Source organism: Homo sapiens, chromosome 1 (assembly GCF_000001405.40).
Source record: "Homo sapiens chromosome 1, GRCh38.p14 Primary Assembly".
Taxonomy (NCBI): domain Eukaryota; kingdom Metazoa; phylum Chordata; class Mammalia; order Primates; family Hominidae; genus Homo; species Homo sapiens.
Genome location: NC_000001.11, coordinates 205,050,369 through 205,067,100, shown reverse-complemented (window position 1 = coordinate 205,067,100; position 16,732 = coordinate 205,050,369). Strand labels below are relative to the sequence as shown.

Here is a 16,732-nt window from a genome sequence, read left to right as displayed (position 1 = left end):
CTGCAAGGCACCAGGGAGTCCATATTCCAGCATTCGCTTATTCATCTGGGTGCAGAGGGCAGGCACTGGCCTGAATCACCCCTTATCTACCCAGCCCTCACTTCGGTACTTGCCATATACTAAGCACTCAGTACCTTTTTCAGAAATGATTGAAAAACTACTCAATTTCCCTATCTTGGTGCCTCTGCAATGCTGTGTGCACGCCTACGCCCCTATGTCCCCATGAATATTTTCATTGCTCCAGTAACAATCCTACCAATTCTTCAAGGGCATAGACCAAGCGCCTCCTCTTCTAACTCTTTCCCGACTCTCCTACTTTCTGTGTGACTGTCTTCCTGCCTGCCTGCATGCTCTCTGCTGGCAGAGGACAGATCTTGTCCCTCTTTGAAGCTCCAGGCTCAGCCCTGGCCCTCAGACCCCGATCCCCAAACCTTGACCCTTTCCACCTCCTACACCCAGTCGAGCCTTATCAGCACTGACCCAGGTGGGGCTCACACTTACTGGTCCGAACCTGCTTCCACTTCCCTGCAGGTGGAGTGCGAGCTTGCAGGGTGTACTTAGCGATGGGGCTGTGGTTGTCGAAGCCACGGCTCCAGCTGAGCTGGATGGTGGTGTCGCCAATGTCCCTCACCACCACACCTCCTGGGGGACCTGGCGGACCTGCACCAAGAGGTCAGAGCACAGTGGGTCAGAATTGGGCAGCTTCCAATTTGAGCCAACCTCCTCCCAGCCAGGCTTGAGCTGGTACAGTACCAAGACAGGGCAGCAGAGGATGCAGTGAACACACACCCAGGCGGGAGGGCGGGCAAGGGGTGTGGGCAGTTGGGGCGGGTGCCAGTTGTTGGGTGGAGGGATGTGTCTCAAGGCTGGGGGAGCTCACAGAGGCTGTCACATGGAGAGGTGCATAGATCTCCCAGCACTAGGCTTTGAAAACTTCAGGGCTCAGTAAAGCACTCCTGTCTTGGGATGTGTTTAGGAGTGGATTTTTTAAACTTTGACTTTGGAAGAAAAATGTCCTGATCATTTAGGACCTGTGAAGAACCACAGGGTATATCCAGCTCACAGGAGTTCCGCCGGAAGCCCTTCCCCGCAGCTTTGAGGGAAGGGAGGGGAGATGAGGCGAGCAGGTCAGAACAGCCCAGCTGGGTTTTAAGGGAGTTGGGGTAGGGGTAGAGGTGGGAAACCCCTCACCTCGGACCAGGACTGTGGCCTCCTTGGACGCGCTGTCCACCACCGTCTGGGCCATGCACGTGTACTTCCCCCCATGGCGCAGCTGGGCGTTCAGGATGGTCAGATCCCCAATGGTCTCCTTCTGCACACGGGGACAGTTAGGGGCAGCAGGTCAGACCACCGGCCCTGACCAGTGCAGCAGGCCATGAGACATGAGGCAGCGCTTGGGAGTCCCCTACTCCATGACATCCATGGACCCCACTGGATCTCAGTTTTCCTGTCTGCTCAATGGGAGGAATCACGACTCATCACTTAGAACCACTGGGGACTAAACAGCAAAGTTTGTTTCAGGAGACAGTCAATGACTGTCCACATTAATAATATCATTTGCCCTAGGGGACAGGCTAACAAGAACAGTAGTGGGAGTGTCTTGGTGGCTGCCCACAACTCCAGGTTTGTCCCTAACCCTCTCCTAAATGCATGGTCCCTGGGTGGAATCCAGGAAGGTCAGCTGTTCATCCAAGGATGAGCTTGCCATGTGTGGGCCTGAGGGAATGGGGGCGCTTAGGCTATGGGTTTCTTAAAGGTGAGGATGGCTAAGGACATCTTGGGGCCCCTGTCTCTCTAGAAGGAGGGAGAAGCCATGGGGCTCTGGCCCTAGGTCTCACCACATTAGTTCTCCGGTAGTGCCCTCCAGGCTTATCAAAGTCGATGGGGAAGTCGTCCAGGGTCCAGGTGAAGGTGAGGTCCATGGTGGGGTCGTGGGAGGCATGGCACTGTAGGGTCAGGTTGTCACCCAAGTTGATGTCGGCACTTGAGGGGGCTAGAGTGATTTTGGTTGCATCTGCCAAGAAAAACAAGGCCCTTGGGTGGATGGGGGAGGAAATGGGCCCAGGCCGGGTCCGCAGGGCAGGCTGAGAGGCTCTGTCCTAAGGCCCAGCAAAGAGAAGAGGTGGTGTGACCCACAGGTCCCAACTGCCCAGGACTGCATGAGTGTGTGGCAGGCAGGGAGGCATGACCAGAGTCTCAGTGGTGGCCAGGGGGTGGTCCCAAGCAAAACTGAATCCTGGGGTGGCCTTGACACCAAACTAGGAGCAATGTGGACACAGGAGCAGGATGATGGGGAGGACAGTACCCTGAGGAGGCTGAGCCCCCGGCCTACCCACATGGCAGCCCTCACCTCGCACAGATAGGATTCCAGTGCTGTTGGCTTTGCCCATGAAGTTCTCAGCAAAGCAGGTGTATTTGCCTTCATCTGACCGGCTGATGTTTCTTATGATCAAGGTGCCATCTGGAGTTACAGTCACTCTGTGGCAAGGACAAGGCAGATGTGGCCAACTCAGGCATGGTTGTCCCTGGGGCTGGCCAACTCCTGTGACTGTTGTCACAGGAGGGGAATTGGCCTCCATGGAGAATGAGGAGGAGCAGGAACTGTGCAGGGTGGGGTGTGGGTGGTACCTGCTGCTGTTGACCAAAATCTCCGTGCCTTTGCTCCAGAGCACCACGGCCTTTGGAGCTGCCCGGGGCTGGCAGGGGATAAGGATCTCTCCCCCGCGGGCCGCGGGGATCAGACGCCTCACGGGATTCAGCCTGAAGTCAGGGGCGAGTGCTAGAAGGAAAGGGGAGAGCCACAGAGAAAAGTACTGTCACCCTTGATTAAGACGTTACTTGGCGTGCCCTTTGAAGCCACGCCATGAGTGACTCCTATTAGCACCTCTTCCAGAATGCATCCAGAACCAAGCCCTTTTTTCTCTGGCCTAAGCTATCAAATCTCCCGCCTGGACTATTGACAACGCGCCCCCCCTCCGCCCCTCACCACCACCCCTGCCACCCCACATCAGTCTTCCTGTTTCTGCACCTTCCTTCTACAATCTTTTCTCCACCCAGTTGGGAATGAACAGCTTTTTCAACTCACACTCAGTGAAGCCCGGCTCTTCACAAATAAGTCTCCACCTTTCCAATCGCATCTTGCTCCACTCTATCCCCCATTCATTATGTTCCAATCACCTAGCCTTTTTTTTTCTCTCTCTCTCTCTTTTGAAGTTGTGAAGTCTTTTCCTGCCTCCAGAGCTTTGCACTTGCTGTAAATCTTGCCTGGAAATTCCCCAGATCTTCACGCGGCTGGCTTCTTAACATTCAGGTCACAGTCTAAATGAGACTTCCTCAGAGAGGACTTCTCTGACCACCCCACCTAACAGGCCCATCTCACGCCCATCACTCTACTGGGTTTTCTTTTCTTTTCTTTCTTTCTTTCTTTCTTTCTTTTTCTTTTCTTTTCTTTCTTCTTCTTTTTTTTTTTTTAAAAGACAAGTCTTGCTGTGTTGCCCAGGCTGGAGTGCAATGGCACAATCTCAGTTCACTGCAGCCTCTGCCTCCAGGGCTCAAGTGATTCTCCTGCCTCAGCCTCCTGTGTAGCTGGGACTACACGTGTGTGCTACCATGCCTGGCTAAATTTTGTGTTTTTCATAGACATGGGGTTTCACCATGTTGCCCAGGCTGGTCTCAAACTCCTGAGCTTGAGGAGATCCACTCACCCCTGCCTCCCAAAGTGCTGGGATTACACAGGCATGAGCCACTGCACCCTGCCTGGATTTTCTTTATACTATATTTGATGGCTAGCTGAAATTATTTAATTGTTTGATTTGGGGTTTATTTGTCCCTTTCCCTCTACTGGATTGTAAGCTACTTAAAGGCAGAGACCGTATCTTTTATATTCATCCCTGTGAAGTGTTGAGTAAGTAGTGGTTGAATGGATGAAGGAACGAATGAATGCTTCTTAGCAAAGCTTCACTAAAACCTGATGTGGTGGGTATCACTGTGTCCATTTTATGGATGAGGAAACTGAGGCTCAGTGAGCTCAAGTCACACAACTAAATATTAGCACTGGCTTACATTTCCCGGGCACCTGCTGTATGGTGGGCAGGCCCTTTATGCTGTACCTCTTTCATCTCACTTGTTCCATACAGCAGCCCAGGAGGGCAGGACTATTATTGCCTATATTTTATAATCAAGAAACTGAAACACAGAAACACTAAGTAACTTGCCAAAGCTCACATAGCTGAAAGGGTTGGGTTACACAAATCTGATTGATTTGGTTTCTGTTTTTTTCACTCACTGCAGCAAACATTTACTGTGTGCCAGACATGGAACAAGTCAGAGACCCTGCCCTCTGGCAGCTGTCAACCCTGTGTCTCATCTCCTTTCTTAAATCTCTGAGTTCTCCTACTTAGAAACTGTTGGAAAACCAAGGAAAATGGCCACAGGGTATGTGCATGTGTGTTTGGAAACACCTAAACTCAGAGCTCTGAAAGCCACCATATGCATGTCCTTGGGATGTCCCCTGCCTCCCTGGGCCCCTTACCTTGCACGGCTAGCTCGGCGCTGGCGTAGATGGTACCGTGCTTATTCTCTGCCACACACTGGTACATGCCCGAGTCTTCCAGGCTCAGCTTGGAGAACCGCAGGTCCCCAGCCAACACCTCCACCCGGTTCTGTGCAGAAGAGCCCAGAGCCCAGGGGGATCAGGACCACAGGAGCCACAGGGAGGAGGGGTTGGCAGGGGTGGGAGCAGTGGAGACTCTAGGCTGATAATCCCTAGAGGATATGGCTTATATGTCCAGTCCTACCTCAGGGCTGCCTGGAACCTCAGGATGCAGATTACCCAGGCCTCCCCAAAGCTGGAAGGGTGAGGTGACCCAGTCAGGACCACATCACTTCTTTTGTGGCTGAACTGTGCCTGGATCCAGGCCTAGCCTGTGACAATGGGACTGGGATGGGAAGAAGTCCTTAGGTGGTCCTAGGACCACCCTCTGACACCCTAATTAGCCCAGAGGGGCTACTAGTGGTGCAGGGGAAGTTCTGGGCGGGGGAGGGAACCAAGTGAGCAGAGGACAGTTGTGATGTGTCGGGGGAAGCCCCATGTCTCCTACCTGGGAGGCCAGAGGCTCCCCGTTCCGCAGCCAGCGCACTGTAGGCCGGGGCTTGCCGGCGGCTGCACAGCCCCAACGCAGGTTGGAGCCAATGTCAGCCTCTGTGTCCGAGATCACTTTTAGCCACTCAGGCTGAGCTGTGGGAGCCCGGAAAAGAAAACCTGGCATGAGCTAGGAGGAGCTTCCAGCTCATTAAAAGGAACAGAAAATCAGGGCAGCAGCACCTGTGCCAGACAGCAGAGGGCGCCATGAGCATTCTGAGATGGAGAGGACAAAGAGGAGGGGGCCGGAAGAAGGAGGCACAAGAAAGCTGGCACTCTGTGGCTGTGCCAGTGGCTGCTTTTGCAACTTAAATCATTCTGGAGCCTCCTGTGTGCTTTCTGCACCCCTGACTGAAGCTCTGAGGTGACCACAGCACTAGCCTCCTCTGGTCCCAGACTCAGTGCAGTCCTAGGGCAAGCAGGCTCATGCAGGGGGCCTCCCAGTCTCCTCCCTGACTTTTGGGTCTGTTTCCTTGGGGACAAGGGTGAAGGCGGGAAGGGGGGTCGGGAGGGGCGGAGAAGGTGTCCCTGGCTCTGTACCCTGCACGATGATGCGGCCCTGCACGGTGTCTCGGCCCTTGGAGTTCTCCGCCTCACACTCGTAGGTGCCCTCATCCTCAAAGCTGACGCTGGGGATCTGCAGGGTGGGCTCAGCTGTGGTCCACTGCGGGGACAGGGAGCCGTCCACTTTGCGCCACTTGATCCGGGGGACAGGGCTGGCAGGAGAGACAAAGCCAGAGGGTGTGGGCTGAGCTGGGCCTACCCCTCCAGTGCCCGCAGCTCCTCATACCCAGACTCTCAGGCCCTCCTGAGATGCTGGGCCTGGGAGGAACAGAGGGAGAGAGGGTGCCTTCTGGCTGATCCTCACTCTCCTCTCCCAGGTAGGCTCGGAGCACACGCAGGGAAGGGGCAAGAGGCAGGGCTGCTCTACCCATCCCCCCTGCAACAACCCTGGAGCCAGTGAAGCCGGGCTTCTGCGGGGTCTGCACCCTGAAGCTGGCCTGCCCTCTCCCGCACCGGTCACCATGCCTCTGGGTCTGCCCTCCGCCACAGTGGCCTGTGACCTGGGTCTTTACGGGTTCTCTTTTCCGTTGCCTCTACAGGGCAGGCCTTGCCCCTACTTTGAAAGGGACTTTAGTTAGTAGTAATCTGTGCACTAAAACGGACTGAGGTATCAGTTTTAATGGGTTAATATATTCCCCTTCCACATGCTTTTCTTTTTTTTCTTTTTTTTTTTTTTTTTTTGAGACGGAGTCTCGCTCTGTCACCTAGGCTGGAGTGCAGTGGGGCAATCTTGGCTCACTGCAAGCTCTGCCTCCCGGGTTCACACCATTCTCCTGCCTCAGCCTCCCGAGCAGCTGGGACTACAGGCACCCGCCACCACACCTGGCTAGTTTTTTTTGTATTTTTAGTAGAGACTGGATTTCACCGTGCTAGCCAGGATGGTCTCGATCTCCTGACCTCATGATCTTCCCACCTCGGCCTCCCAAAGTGCTGGGATTACAGACATGAACCACCGCACCTGGCCCCACTTCCACATGCTTTTCATGTGGATTTTCTGGAAGCCCAAAACTTCCCACAAGGCAGAGATTCTCCCAGGTAACCATAGGAGATAGTTGAGGGAGGAGGGGGCCAAAGTACAAATCACATTCTTTCTTTCATACTACAAACATTTATTGAGCACCTGCTATTTGCTTAGCCCTGTTCTAGTGACTCCTTCTTCTAGGAGTACGAGAAAGAGAACACTTTCTGCTGCCATTCTCAAATAGATCACTGTTAACATTCACGGAACACTTAACTAAATTCCAGGCACTGTTCTAAGTATCTCACATATATGAACTGATTTAATCCTCATGACAACCCTATGAGGTAGGTACTATTATCACCACCATAAAGAAACTGAGGCACAGAGAGGTTAGGCAGTTTACCCAAGGTCTGCGGGTGGCAGAGCTGGGATCTGAATGAGACAGACAGGGTTGGAGTCTGTACACTGTGCTGCCTGCCTCCAGCCCTGGGTGTTACTCAAGCTGTCTGAGCCTGCCATGCACTGCTGGAAGACCAAGTGATCCTGGCCATGGAAGGCCCCTGGCATATGCGATGCCTCACCCAGAGAGGTACTGTCCAGTGAGTGGTGGTCGATACCCACTGTGTGCCCAGTACTTTGCTAGACCCTGTGAGGGACACCAAGATAAGAGCCCTGACTCTGCCTGCCCTCACCCTGGGGTCACCTGTGCCCCCGAGAGACCGTGCTCTGCTTCCCCTCCCTCTTCACACTCACTTCCCAAAGGCGAAGCACTCCAGGGTGACCTGCTGCCCCACCAGTGCATAGGTCTCTGCTGGGAACCGGGCCTTGATGCTGGGTGCAAAGAGCCGGGTATCTGGGGAGAGAGGGTTTTACAAATCAGATGCAGATGACTCCAGGTCAGGTGCTCCCGTGCATGGGATCTCAGCACCTTTCAGAGCCAACTCTGTCTAGGCAGCTGTGTGGAATCTCCTTGAGGCCTGGGGCAAGGGCCTCAGGATTTGAAGCAGGAGGATCTGGGGGTCCAGGGCCTGGAATCAGTGCCCTGCAAGCTGATCTTCCAATCTCCAAAGGAAAAACCCTTTTCCTAATGCCCGCTGACCCTTCCAGTTCCCTCCCTCCAGCCACGCCTGGCCAAGCCTGACCTTCAGCAGCCAGGTTGAGCTGAGCAAACTTGCTGAAGACGCTCTTGGTGGAGAAGTCCATGTGGCTGGTGGCCAAACAGGAGTAGTTGCCCAGGTCTGAGGCATTGGTTCGGGCAATGTACAGGTTCCCTGTGGTCTGGGACACGAAGTGACGCCCGTCCGTCGGGATGAAGTTGGGGAACTCGTTGAGGAGCCAGCGGTAGGACAAGCCTAGGATGTGAGGAGTTTGAGGAAACCAGGGGGTGCTGGGCTAACAGGGCCACTCTGGGTGGGACCCCAGCATGCTGGTGCGGTTCTGCAAGCCCTGTCCTGACAGCCACCATGCTCTGAACTGGGGCTAAGGGGAGACCTAGAGGGAAGAAGTGACTTTATTCCTGCCCTCAGGGAGCGCTAAGTCTGCCAGGGATCGCAGCCCTCAGGGGCCACCCAGTTTGAAGGCGGAAGCAGGGCACAACGATGGAAAGTGACAGACCTATAAAGGAAACACAGATCATTTAAAGTTAGGGTCCCAGGGATGGGTGCTTCTAAGGGTCATTTCCAGGGGTCTCCTTTTATTCCATCCTTCCTCTGCCAAGCATCTGGAAGCCCTTCCTGTGCCCTCTCTAACCCTGGCCCCAGGTCTGGACTCACCTGGGTAGTGGGCAGGTGGGTTACAGGGCAACATCACCCCCCAGCCTTCATGAGCTTTCACTGGGTCTCGCTCCTCCTTGGAGAATTCCTGCAGAACTGGAGGCAGAGACCAGGGGCTCAGGCACTGTCCTCCTGGCCTGCGAGCCCCTCCCCGACTCATCCTTCACGGAGAAGCAGCAGTTCACTAAGGCATGTCATGTGAGGTCAGGAAGGCCCGGCTTGAGGGTGTCCCTTATCCTTTCTCAGTAATTTCTCCTAGCCCCCTCTCCCCCTCCCCCAAAGTGTCTTGGTCCCCCGCGGGTCTCACAGCCGAAGCGGAGGATGGCCTCCCTGCTGACAACGGTGCCCACTGGGTTGGAGGCCAGGCACTGGTAGACCCCGGCATCCTGTGCCTTGGTGGGGTTCATGATGACCAGGTTGCCCCCCACCAGCTGGTGACGGGAACCTGGCTCCAGCTTCATCTCGGTACCATTCATCTTCCACCTGCAGCAGGGGACAGAGGAAGGGGACCTCTGAGTCCTGCCTGGTGGCAGGGCTGATGAGAGGGAAAGTTCAACGGCTGCCCAGGGCCTCCCAGCACCCACTGCAGAGGCCTTACCGATAGGTGGCTGGAGGGCTGGCCCGGGCGCGGCATGCCAGCAACACCTGCTCCTCCGTGGACTCCTCTGGGAATAGCACACTGAGGGGCTGGTCTTCAAAGACAGGCCCGAAGGTGGTTTGGGATCCCAGGGCTGAACTCCAAGCTGCAGGTGATGACACCACCAGATGCCTCAGAGCCTTGGCCTGGCTGGAGCCTGGCCTCTTGGGCTGTGCTGTCCAGTAAAACTTTCTCTGATGATGGGAATGTCCCATTTTCTGCACTGTTCAATGTGGTAACCACTAGCCACGTAGGGCTATCGAGCACTTGACATGTGGCTATTGCGACTGAAGAACGACATTTTACATTTTATATTACTTAATTAATTTAAATTTGAATTTAAATAGGCTGGGCAGGCCCCATCTGGCCATACTAGTTCAATCAATCACCCATCCTACACTTAGGTATTGAGCACCTGCTCTATACCCAGCACTGGGCTAGAGACTGGCTTGTAAAGATGATTAAGACACAGTCCCTCTTCTTCAAGGGGCTTGCGGTCCAAGGAGGGAGACAGGAAATTGACAGTGCAAGGTAGCAAATGCCATAAAGTTCAAGATGCTGGGGCCTCAGAATGGAAGCAGTTCTACCTCCCAGGGGGCTTTCAAGGGACCCTTACAGAAGAACTGATCTGTGGGGTGTGAGGTGCATGAGACGTCGCCAGCCACAAACATGCAGAGAGGATGTGTGTCCCTGGAGCCTAATACCCTTACTGGGGCAGTGTGGACCAACGAGGCCTGGGCCTGGGGACTAGGCTGGCCCTCTACTAGCTGTGGGACCTTGGGAAAGTTATAGAACTCTTCTGAGCCTCAGTATCTTCACCTGTGAAATGAAAAGAATATGAGTTCACCTCCCAGGGTCTGCATGAGGATTCAGCCAGACAAACCCTTGGAAGGTGGCGGGCACGGAGAGTGTGCTCAGCAGATGTCTGCTGGAGCCACATGTGGGGTGGGGACTTGGAGGAGAAGGATTGCCTTATGGTGGGTGGAGGGTGGGCAGTTTGCTTTGGTGGCAGTTTTATACAATTCCAGTATCACAATTCAAGAAATGTCCAGAAAAGGGAGTGACTTGCCCATGGTCACCCAGCAAGTCTGTGGCACAGACAGATCAATTCCTCCTGAGCTTGGTGGACCAATGAGCACCACACAGGCAAATGGGGCAGACTCCTCTCTCTTCATGCATCATTGTCCTGCTGCAGGGCAGGGCAGGGGATGAAGAGCCACAGATTGGCCGGACATCACACCTGCCCTTCGACAGGGCTGGGGTGGGCTCTCTGCTGACTGGTGGGGCCAGTCCGTTTTGCTTCTGCGGTGTCAGGTGGGAGCCAGGCTATCCCTAATTGGCTTCTACCTCTTAACGCAGCTGATTTCAGGCCTTCCTTGGTGGGTCATGGGGAAAGGGATCCCCATTAACTAATTAGTTCCTTTCCCAGCGCATCCAGCCATCAGTCCTCTTCCAGGGGTAGGGGGTGGCCCCATGCTGCAGCTGAGGCCCAGCCTTGGCCCCCTGGGAGTGAGGGCAGCTGCTAAGCAGCTCTCAGAATGAGGTAGGAGGCAGGGCTCCCAGGAATGGCCCGGTGCAGGCATCCCTTGTGCCATTCTCCCTCACTGCCGCCCCAGGCCTCAGAGGCGGAGGCGGCGGGCGGTGACGGCATCATCTCGGCTGGAAAGTCCAGCTTAATCCCAAGTTAATGATGGTGGTGTACGGTAGGAATCCTGCCCCAGCTGGCACTGCTGGGAGGGGAGGCAAAGGAGGCGCTGGGAGGCAGCCGGACTGCTGGGAACCACCTAGTACAATAGCAGCTTCCAGGAACGCTGGGTGATGGGGTGGCTGAGTGGGCTCAGGGCATGTTGATACATTCAGACTCTTTCTTCCCGAGAAACCTTTCTCCTCTGCTCTCAGCTGTCCACTCACCCAAATATTCACATACACACCCCTTCGCATCTCTCACCTACACACATTTTCTTATATGCACGCTCATGTCATACACACATTCGTACATATGCACCTCCCTAAGCTGCTCAAATGGCAAGATACATACATTTACACACACATCCATTCCCCCCTGACACACAGCTATAGATGGCCATGGAGACTTTTATATATAATCCATGCATTCATAATAATAAAAATAGGTGCTATAGACGGACTGCTTACTATTTATCCCATACCATGCTCCATATTTCCTTCTCATAACCTCTTTACAAGATAGGTATTGCCATTTTCTTATTTTCCTGACATGGAAACTGACAGTTAGAAAGCTTCAATAACTTGCCCCAGATCCCACAGCGAGAAGGAGCGGATCTGGGGGGTTGGACCTTGGCCAGGCTGACCCCACCACAAGCATTCTTAACCCCACTGTTCCTGACTCTTGACCTCTGTTTCCCATCAGAACCACCAGAGGCCCTGCTCCATCTCACAGATAAGGAGTCAGAATCTCTTGGAGTGAGGCTCAGGAGACCAAGTCTTAGAAAATGCCCCTGGGCATTCTGCAGGGAGGCTGGGATATGAGAGCTGGTCACACTGTGCTGTGAGACTTTCTGGACACATTCATTATCCCCAGCGTAGTACCACCTCCATGCAGGCACCTCACTCATACCTCCAGCCTCTCAGCCATCCATATCCACAGACACCCTCACACACCCACACTTGCCTCTTCAGCTACATACACACCCACCCACACATGAGCCTCCCCGTGTGTGTGCTTACACATGCACATGCAAAAACACACTCTCTGCCTGTAATCCCAGCACTTTGAGAGGCGGAGGCAGGAGGATCACCTGAGCTCGAGAGTTCGAGACCAGCCTGGCCAACATGGTGAAACCCCGTCTCTACCAAAAATACAAAAATTAGCCGAGCGTGGTGGCGAGTGTCTGTAATCCCAGCTACTCGGGAGGTTGAGGCAGGAGAATCGCTTGAACCCAGGAGTCAGAGGTTGCAGAGAGCCAAGATCACACCACTGCACTCCAGCCTGGGCAACAGAGTAAGACTCCATCTCAAAAACAAAAACAAAACCCGCAAACAACAACAACAACAACAAAACACACTCTCCCAGGCGAGGCCAGCCCTTCCTTATTCTTGTTCCTCATCCTCTCTGATTCTTTTCTGATGCCCTGTCCTGGTAACTTTTCCCCCAAACACAGGCGTCAGAAACCTTGCAGAGGAACGGAGTTAAAGAGATGAGAAGGTGGAGAGGGATCCTTGATACCCCTCCTTGCACTGGAGTGCCAGGAATCCACAGCTATATCCCGAGGACAGGGCAGCAAGAAAGGCCCAGAGCTGAGGCAACTTCCTGGGAGGGGTGGGGGCCAGCGATGGGATTTGCCACTCCTGTCTCTCTCTGGAGCTCTGGGAGGTGGCAGACCAGATCCCAGCCCCTTGGTCATTGGCTTCATGTGTCTCTGGGTCTAAGGAACTTGGATGCTGTCCATACCCCTTTCCTCAGATGGTGTGGATCCAGCACTGAGGTGTCCCTGAGGGAGCGGATGCTAGAAGCCCAGGCGCCTCCCCTCTGCTCCGTCTGGGGTGCCCATCTCCTGCTCTGTGCAGTTGAGGCTTCCCATCCCTGTAGCTCTTCCCAGTCTGGTGGACCCTTGGACAGGTAGCGAGGCCTGGGGGGCTGGATGGCTCGCCCCACACTCTGAGTCAGCCCTGTTTCCCAGCAGCCTCACTGACTGAGCTGCAGGACTGGGAAGCAGTGAGGACAGAATGAGAACGTCTGAAAGTATGCCAGTGGAGTCCCTCCCTCGTGAGACAAAGGACCTGAAATGCACCGGCTGTAGCCTTGCAGGGGGTGTGGGGTAGGGGAGGTGGAGTCTGAGGTGCTTAGAACTCCAGGACCATGGAGAGTCCCACAGAGATGTTTAAGGAGAAAAGAAGCATCTATTGATCTGGGCTGAGGGTCAGGGCAGAGGCCAAGCAGTGGGTCCAGCAGACCCCTTAGAGCAGGAGGCGGCTGGGGACCTCCCTCTTGCCCTAGGACAGGCCAGCGGCCCGGCTCCTCTGGCCTGACATGCTCTCCAGAGTCCAGCTGGCCTGTGGCTCTCGGCCTGCCCTCTTCACCCTCTCCTTCCCCTCCTGCCAGCCTTCCTCTGCCTCTCCTCCAAGCTGGAAGCTCCCCTGGGAGGAGAACCTCAGCTCCCTCGTCTGCCGCATCTCTTCCCAGATCCTGTTCTATGCTTGGTCCATTTGCTGGGATGCAGCGTTGCCTTAAGAAACCCTTCCAGGGTTTAGTGGGATTGACCGCTGTCTGCTCATGTCAGGGGACTACAGAGCCCTGTCTGGGAGAATGTCCTGCAATGATGGAAATGTTCTATGCTGTGTGCTATCCAATATGGCTACTGAACGTTCGAAATGTGGCTAGTGCACCTGAGGAAATTATTTTTAAAATGGAATTGAATCTGAGTTGTAGTAGTCCCATGTGGCTATTACCTTCCATATTGGACAGTGCAGCCTTTGAGGCTACAACTCCGGGTGATATTGTGGAGATCTGGCGTGCCATCATCTTGCTGTGTGACCTAGGGTAAGCCACTCACCCTCTCTGGGTCATTCTTCCTTCATCTATAATATGGCAAAGACATATTCCCTCTCCTCCTAAACTCAAAGGAAGGTAAGATCTACAAATGGGAAATTTTAGCAAGGAAATGGCCTCAGAAATCTAGCTGCTCCCACAATGCAGAGCCAATGATTTCTGTAATCGTCACCCAAATCATAGCAAGGATATAACACTATAATCATGCCTGCTAGGCTTCAAAGCCCAGATGAGCCCTCTTACCTGAAGAGGAGACAAGGGCCACAGCAGCTACCAGCAGCAGGTGTGGCTTCCTCCTGGTGGCTGTCCCCATGGTGGATGTCCGGGCAGAGGTGGGGATCGGAGGAGAAGAGCCTCAGCTCAGCTTGGGGACAGCCCAGCTGGAGGCTGAGAAAGGACCTGGGGAGGCAGACAGAAAGGAGGGCTCTGAGCCGAGGAGCGCCCCTCCCAGCTCCAGGCACATCTGGGTCCGTAAAGCTTTTACCTCGGCCTGGGGAGCTGCCGGAATTGCCCAAGCACTAATTCTCCCCAGGGCCCCAGAGGAAGGGGCTTGGCTATTACCAAGAAGCTCTTCCTGGGGCTGAGTGCCTCCTACTGGTCCCCTGGGAGTCTGGCTCAGCCCTGTACCCCCACCTGCCCCCATTCCAGCCAGTGGGGTGCCGCTTAGGAAGTGAAAGCAGTGATTAATTGGGAGGTAAGAACCCACCTGCCGTCTCGCCCGTCAGCTCTTGAGGCGAGGCCGGAAGAGAACAGGACTTGTGCATGGGTTGGAAGTCAGTAACATCTTCCTCTGGCAGGTGGGCTCAGGGCTGACTTTCCCCCTGCCCCTTCCCCTCAGCTGTCTGGGTGGGGGCTAGTAAGCCCCTCTGGGAGCTGCCTTAAGTCTCCCAGTCTTGTTTTCCTAGCAGTGAGGAGGGGTCTCACTGATTTGTCCACACCCTCTTGCCAGTGGAGTCATGACCTTGGCCCCATTAGCAATGCCCCCAACCAGATGGGTGAAGGGGCCCAGCAGGCTTTCTGGGTCGAAAGAGTTAATGCATCTCCCAGAGGAGCCTCCCTCTTGCACAGAGATGAGCTGAGGCTTGGTTCAATCATTGAGCTCTGGAGAAGAACCTGTTCCCTGTAGCTGCTGAGAGCAAGTCAGATGCCTGTCCCATCAGTCTCAGAGATGGGGCCTTCTCTTGGGAGGTGAGGGCGGGGGCAGAGCCAGCCTCCCCGTTCACTCCCAGTCCCTGGGAGGACTTTCCTAGTTCAGAGGGGAGTGTGGAATGTCAGGGGCCTGCTTTCCAGTTATTGGTTATCAGAGTGAACCTGGGTCACTGGGCTCAGAGCCTCCACAGGGGCCAGCGAGCCCGGCTGCAGATTCTGCTGCTCTGCTCTGCCTGCCCTCTTTGCGGAAACTTAAGAGCAGTGGGAGGGGGTCAGGGCTTGGGGAGAGAGCCTGGCTGGGGGCCCTTTCACCAACTGCCTGCAAGACCCGTCCCATCTCTGGATCTCAGTGTTCTGGCTCTGGTGATGCTCCCAGAATGCAGAGTGGCCAAGGGCTTGGGAATGCTGTCCCCTGGATGGGGACCCGTGTGGAGAAAGAAGGCTGCAGAGGACCTAAGATTGCCTCTCAGGCCTGTGCAGGGGCTGAAGGCCAGTGCAAGCTCAGGATCTGCCCTGTCTCACATCACACTCTATTTTCTCAGGAAGAGAGCTCCCAAACCCTTTCAACCCTCCACATTTGACCACTCCACAACCTTTTCCTGCCTCTTTCACAGCCACAGTTGGCACCCAAAGGAGCCTGGGGGGAGAGAAGGGAGAGTTGTCCCCAGGGCCCGTCAGGAAGGATATGGCCAAGGAAGCCGAGAAGCTGGGTGTTTTGCTGGGGGTGGGGGGCGTTGGAGCAGATGGCACTCCCTCCTCCACCCCGACTGCAGCCTCATATCCACTTCCGATTGACAGGCAGGGTGCCCAGGTGCCACTTCTCCCAAAATACCTGCCCCTCCCTGTCCTTGCCACTCTCAGTTCGACTTGAACTCAAGACATTCTGCACTTGCAACCCCTCCGACATTCCCCCAGCACATCCATCTTCACTCTCCTGTAATGCCCTTCCTAGGCAAGGCAGTCTCTCCTGCAAGGCCCTGTCCATGTCTCATCCCTGCCGGGAAGGGCCTAAGATGCCCCTGTCTACGCAAAAAATTCAATTCACTCTGTTCTTGACTACAGCTTTGGTACCCTGCCTGTAGAACTGTGTCCATCTCCATTAGAAGGTTCTGAGCTGCCCAGGGGAGAGATTGTGTTGTGTTCATCTTGGTATTACCTATGCCTAGCAAAGTACCTGGCACATCATAGTTGTTCCTTGTATGTTGCATTTAACTGGTCAAGAACAACTGTGATTATATGCCTCCAGGAGCCAGTGAACACATGCGTGGGCACACATGATGGGGCTCATGCAGATGCTCCTTGACTTACGATGGGGTTACATCCCGATAAACCCACTGAAAGTTGGAAATATCATAAGTTGAAACTCCATTTAATACACCTATTCTACTGAACATCATAGCTTAGCCTAGCCCACCTTCAACGTACTCAGAAGGCCGGGCACCGTGGCTCACGCCTGTAATCCCCGCAGTTTGGGAGGCCGAGGCGGGTGGATCACCTGAGGTCAGGAGTTCGAGATCAGCCTGGCCAACATGGTGAAACCCCATCTCTACTAAAAATACAAAAATTTGCTGGGCATGGTGGCAGGTGCCTGTAATCCCAGCTACTCGGGAGGCTGAGGCATGAGAATCACTTGAACTTGGGAGATGGAAGTTGCAGTGAGCCAACATCATGCCATTGCACTGCAGCCTGGGCAACAAGAGCAAAATTCCATTTCAAAAAAAAATGTACTCAGAACACTTACATTCACCTGCAGTTGGGCAAAGTCACCAAATACAAAGCCTATTTTATAATAACGTGTTAAATATCTCATGTAATGTATTGAATACTGTACTGAAAGTGAAAAACAGAGTAGTTGTTGGATACTCGAAGTATGGTTTCCATTGAATGTGTATTGCTTTTGCACCATCGTAAATTTGAAAAATTTTAAGTCAAGCCACTGTAAGTCAGGGACAGTCTGTATATACTTGATAGGGTTGACAGG

At 54.3% G+C, this 16,732-nt stretch overlaps 1 protein-coding gene across 6 annotated transcripts in view, besides 5 other annotated features; it reads right to left on the bottom strand.

Moving 5' to 3' along the window:
- CNTN2 (contactin 2) overlaps nucleotides 1-16,732 on the bottom strand; it is a 35,341-nt gene that overhangs the window by 11,189 nt on the left and 7,420 nt on the right. For 5 of the 6 annotated variants that reach the window (NR_144350.2, XM_047429104.1, NM_001346083.2 and 2 more), the window contains exons 2-15: nucleotides 13,846-14,001; nucleotides 9,036-9,180; nucleotides 8,745-8,920; nucleotides 8,438-8,533; nucleotides 7,808-8,017; nucleotides 7,419-7,518; nucleotides 5,681-5,856; nucleotides 5,100-5,236; nucleotides 4,532-4,661; nucleotides 2,629-2,779; nucleotides 2,351-2,478; nucleotides 1,839-2,014; nucleotides 1,192-1,312; nucleotides 502-660 (exon numbers count right to left, since the gene is read on the bottom strand). Coding sequence is in view for 5 of the 6 variants with exons in the window: in XM_047429104.1 (XP_047285060.1) it covers nucleotides 502-660; nucleotides 1,192-1,312; nucleotides 1,839-2,014; nucleotides 2,351-2,478; nucleotides 2,629-2,779; nucleotides 4,532-4,661; nucleotides 5,100-5,236; nucleotides 5,681-5,856; nucleotides 7,419-7,518; nucleotides 7,808-8,017; nucleotides 8,438-8,533; nucleotides 8,745-8,920; nucleotides 9,036-9,180; nucleotides 13,846-13,915 (1,975 nt within the window). In the remaining variant the exon portion in view is untranslated. Of the gene's footprint in view, nucleotides 1-501; nucleotides 661-1,191; nucleotides 1,313-1,838; nucleotides 2,015-2,350; nucleotides 2,479-2,628; nucleotides 2,780-4,531; nucleotides 4,662-5,099; nucleotides 5,237-5,680; nucleotides 5,857-7,418; nucleotides 7,519-7,807; nucleotides 8,018-8,437; nucleotides 8,534-8,744; nucleotides 8,921-9,035; nucleotides 9,181-9,690; nucleotides 9,894-13,845; nucleotides 14,002-16,732 lie in introns of all 6 variants that reach the window. The other variant, XM_017002199.3, reaches the window with a different exon arrangement.
- Nucleotides 12,133-12,860: an enhancer, noted in NCBI's record as "H3K4me1 hESC enhancer chr1:205023369-205024096 (GRCh37/hg19 assembly coordinates)". NCBI's record gives its function as "activates a minimal SCP1, AML or CMV promoter by ChIP-STARR-seq in naive and primed H9 embryonic stem cells {active_cell/tissue: H9 hESC(naive and primed)}" and the evidence as "EXISTENCE:reporter gene assay evidence [ECO:0000049][PMID:30033119]".
- Nucleotides 12,133-12,924: a biological region, named in NCBI's record as "H3K4me1 hESC enhancer GRCh37_chr1:205023369-205024096".
- Nucleotides 12,393-12,537: an enhancer, noted in NCBI's record as "145 bp 1:205023764 sequence used in MPRA reporter constructs". NCBI's record gives its function as "activates a minimal TATA-containing promoter with rs4951163 allelic activity by MPRAs in UACC903 melanoma cells {active_cell/tissue: UACC903}" and the evidence as "EXISTENCE:reporter gene assay evidence [ECO:0000049][PMID:36423637]".
- Nucleotide 12,465: a transcriptional cis regulatory region, noted in NCBI's record as "rs4951163 or 1:205023764 MPRA-significant variant associated with a GWAS melanoma risk locus at 1q32.1". NCBI's record gives its function as "allelic transcriptional activity by MPRAs in UACC903 melanoma cells {active_cell/tissue: UACC903}" and the evidence as "EXISTENCE:reporter gene assay evidence [ECO:0000049][PMID:36423637]".
- Nucleotides 12,729-12,924: a silencer, noted in NCBI's record as "fragment chr1:205023305-205023500 (GRCh37/hg19 assembly coordinates)". NCBI's record gives its function as "represses an EF-1alpha promoter that drives an FKBP-Casp9 reporter gene in an ReSE screen in phorbol 12-myristate 13-acetate-treated (for megakaryocytic differentiation) K562 erythroleukemia cells {active_cell/tissue: K562(+PMA)}" and the evidence as "EXISTENCE:reporter gene assay evidence [ECO:0000049][PMID:32094911]".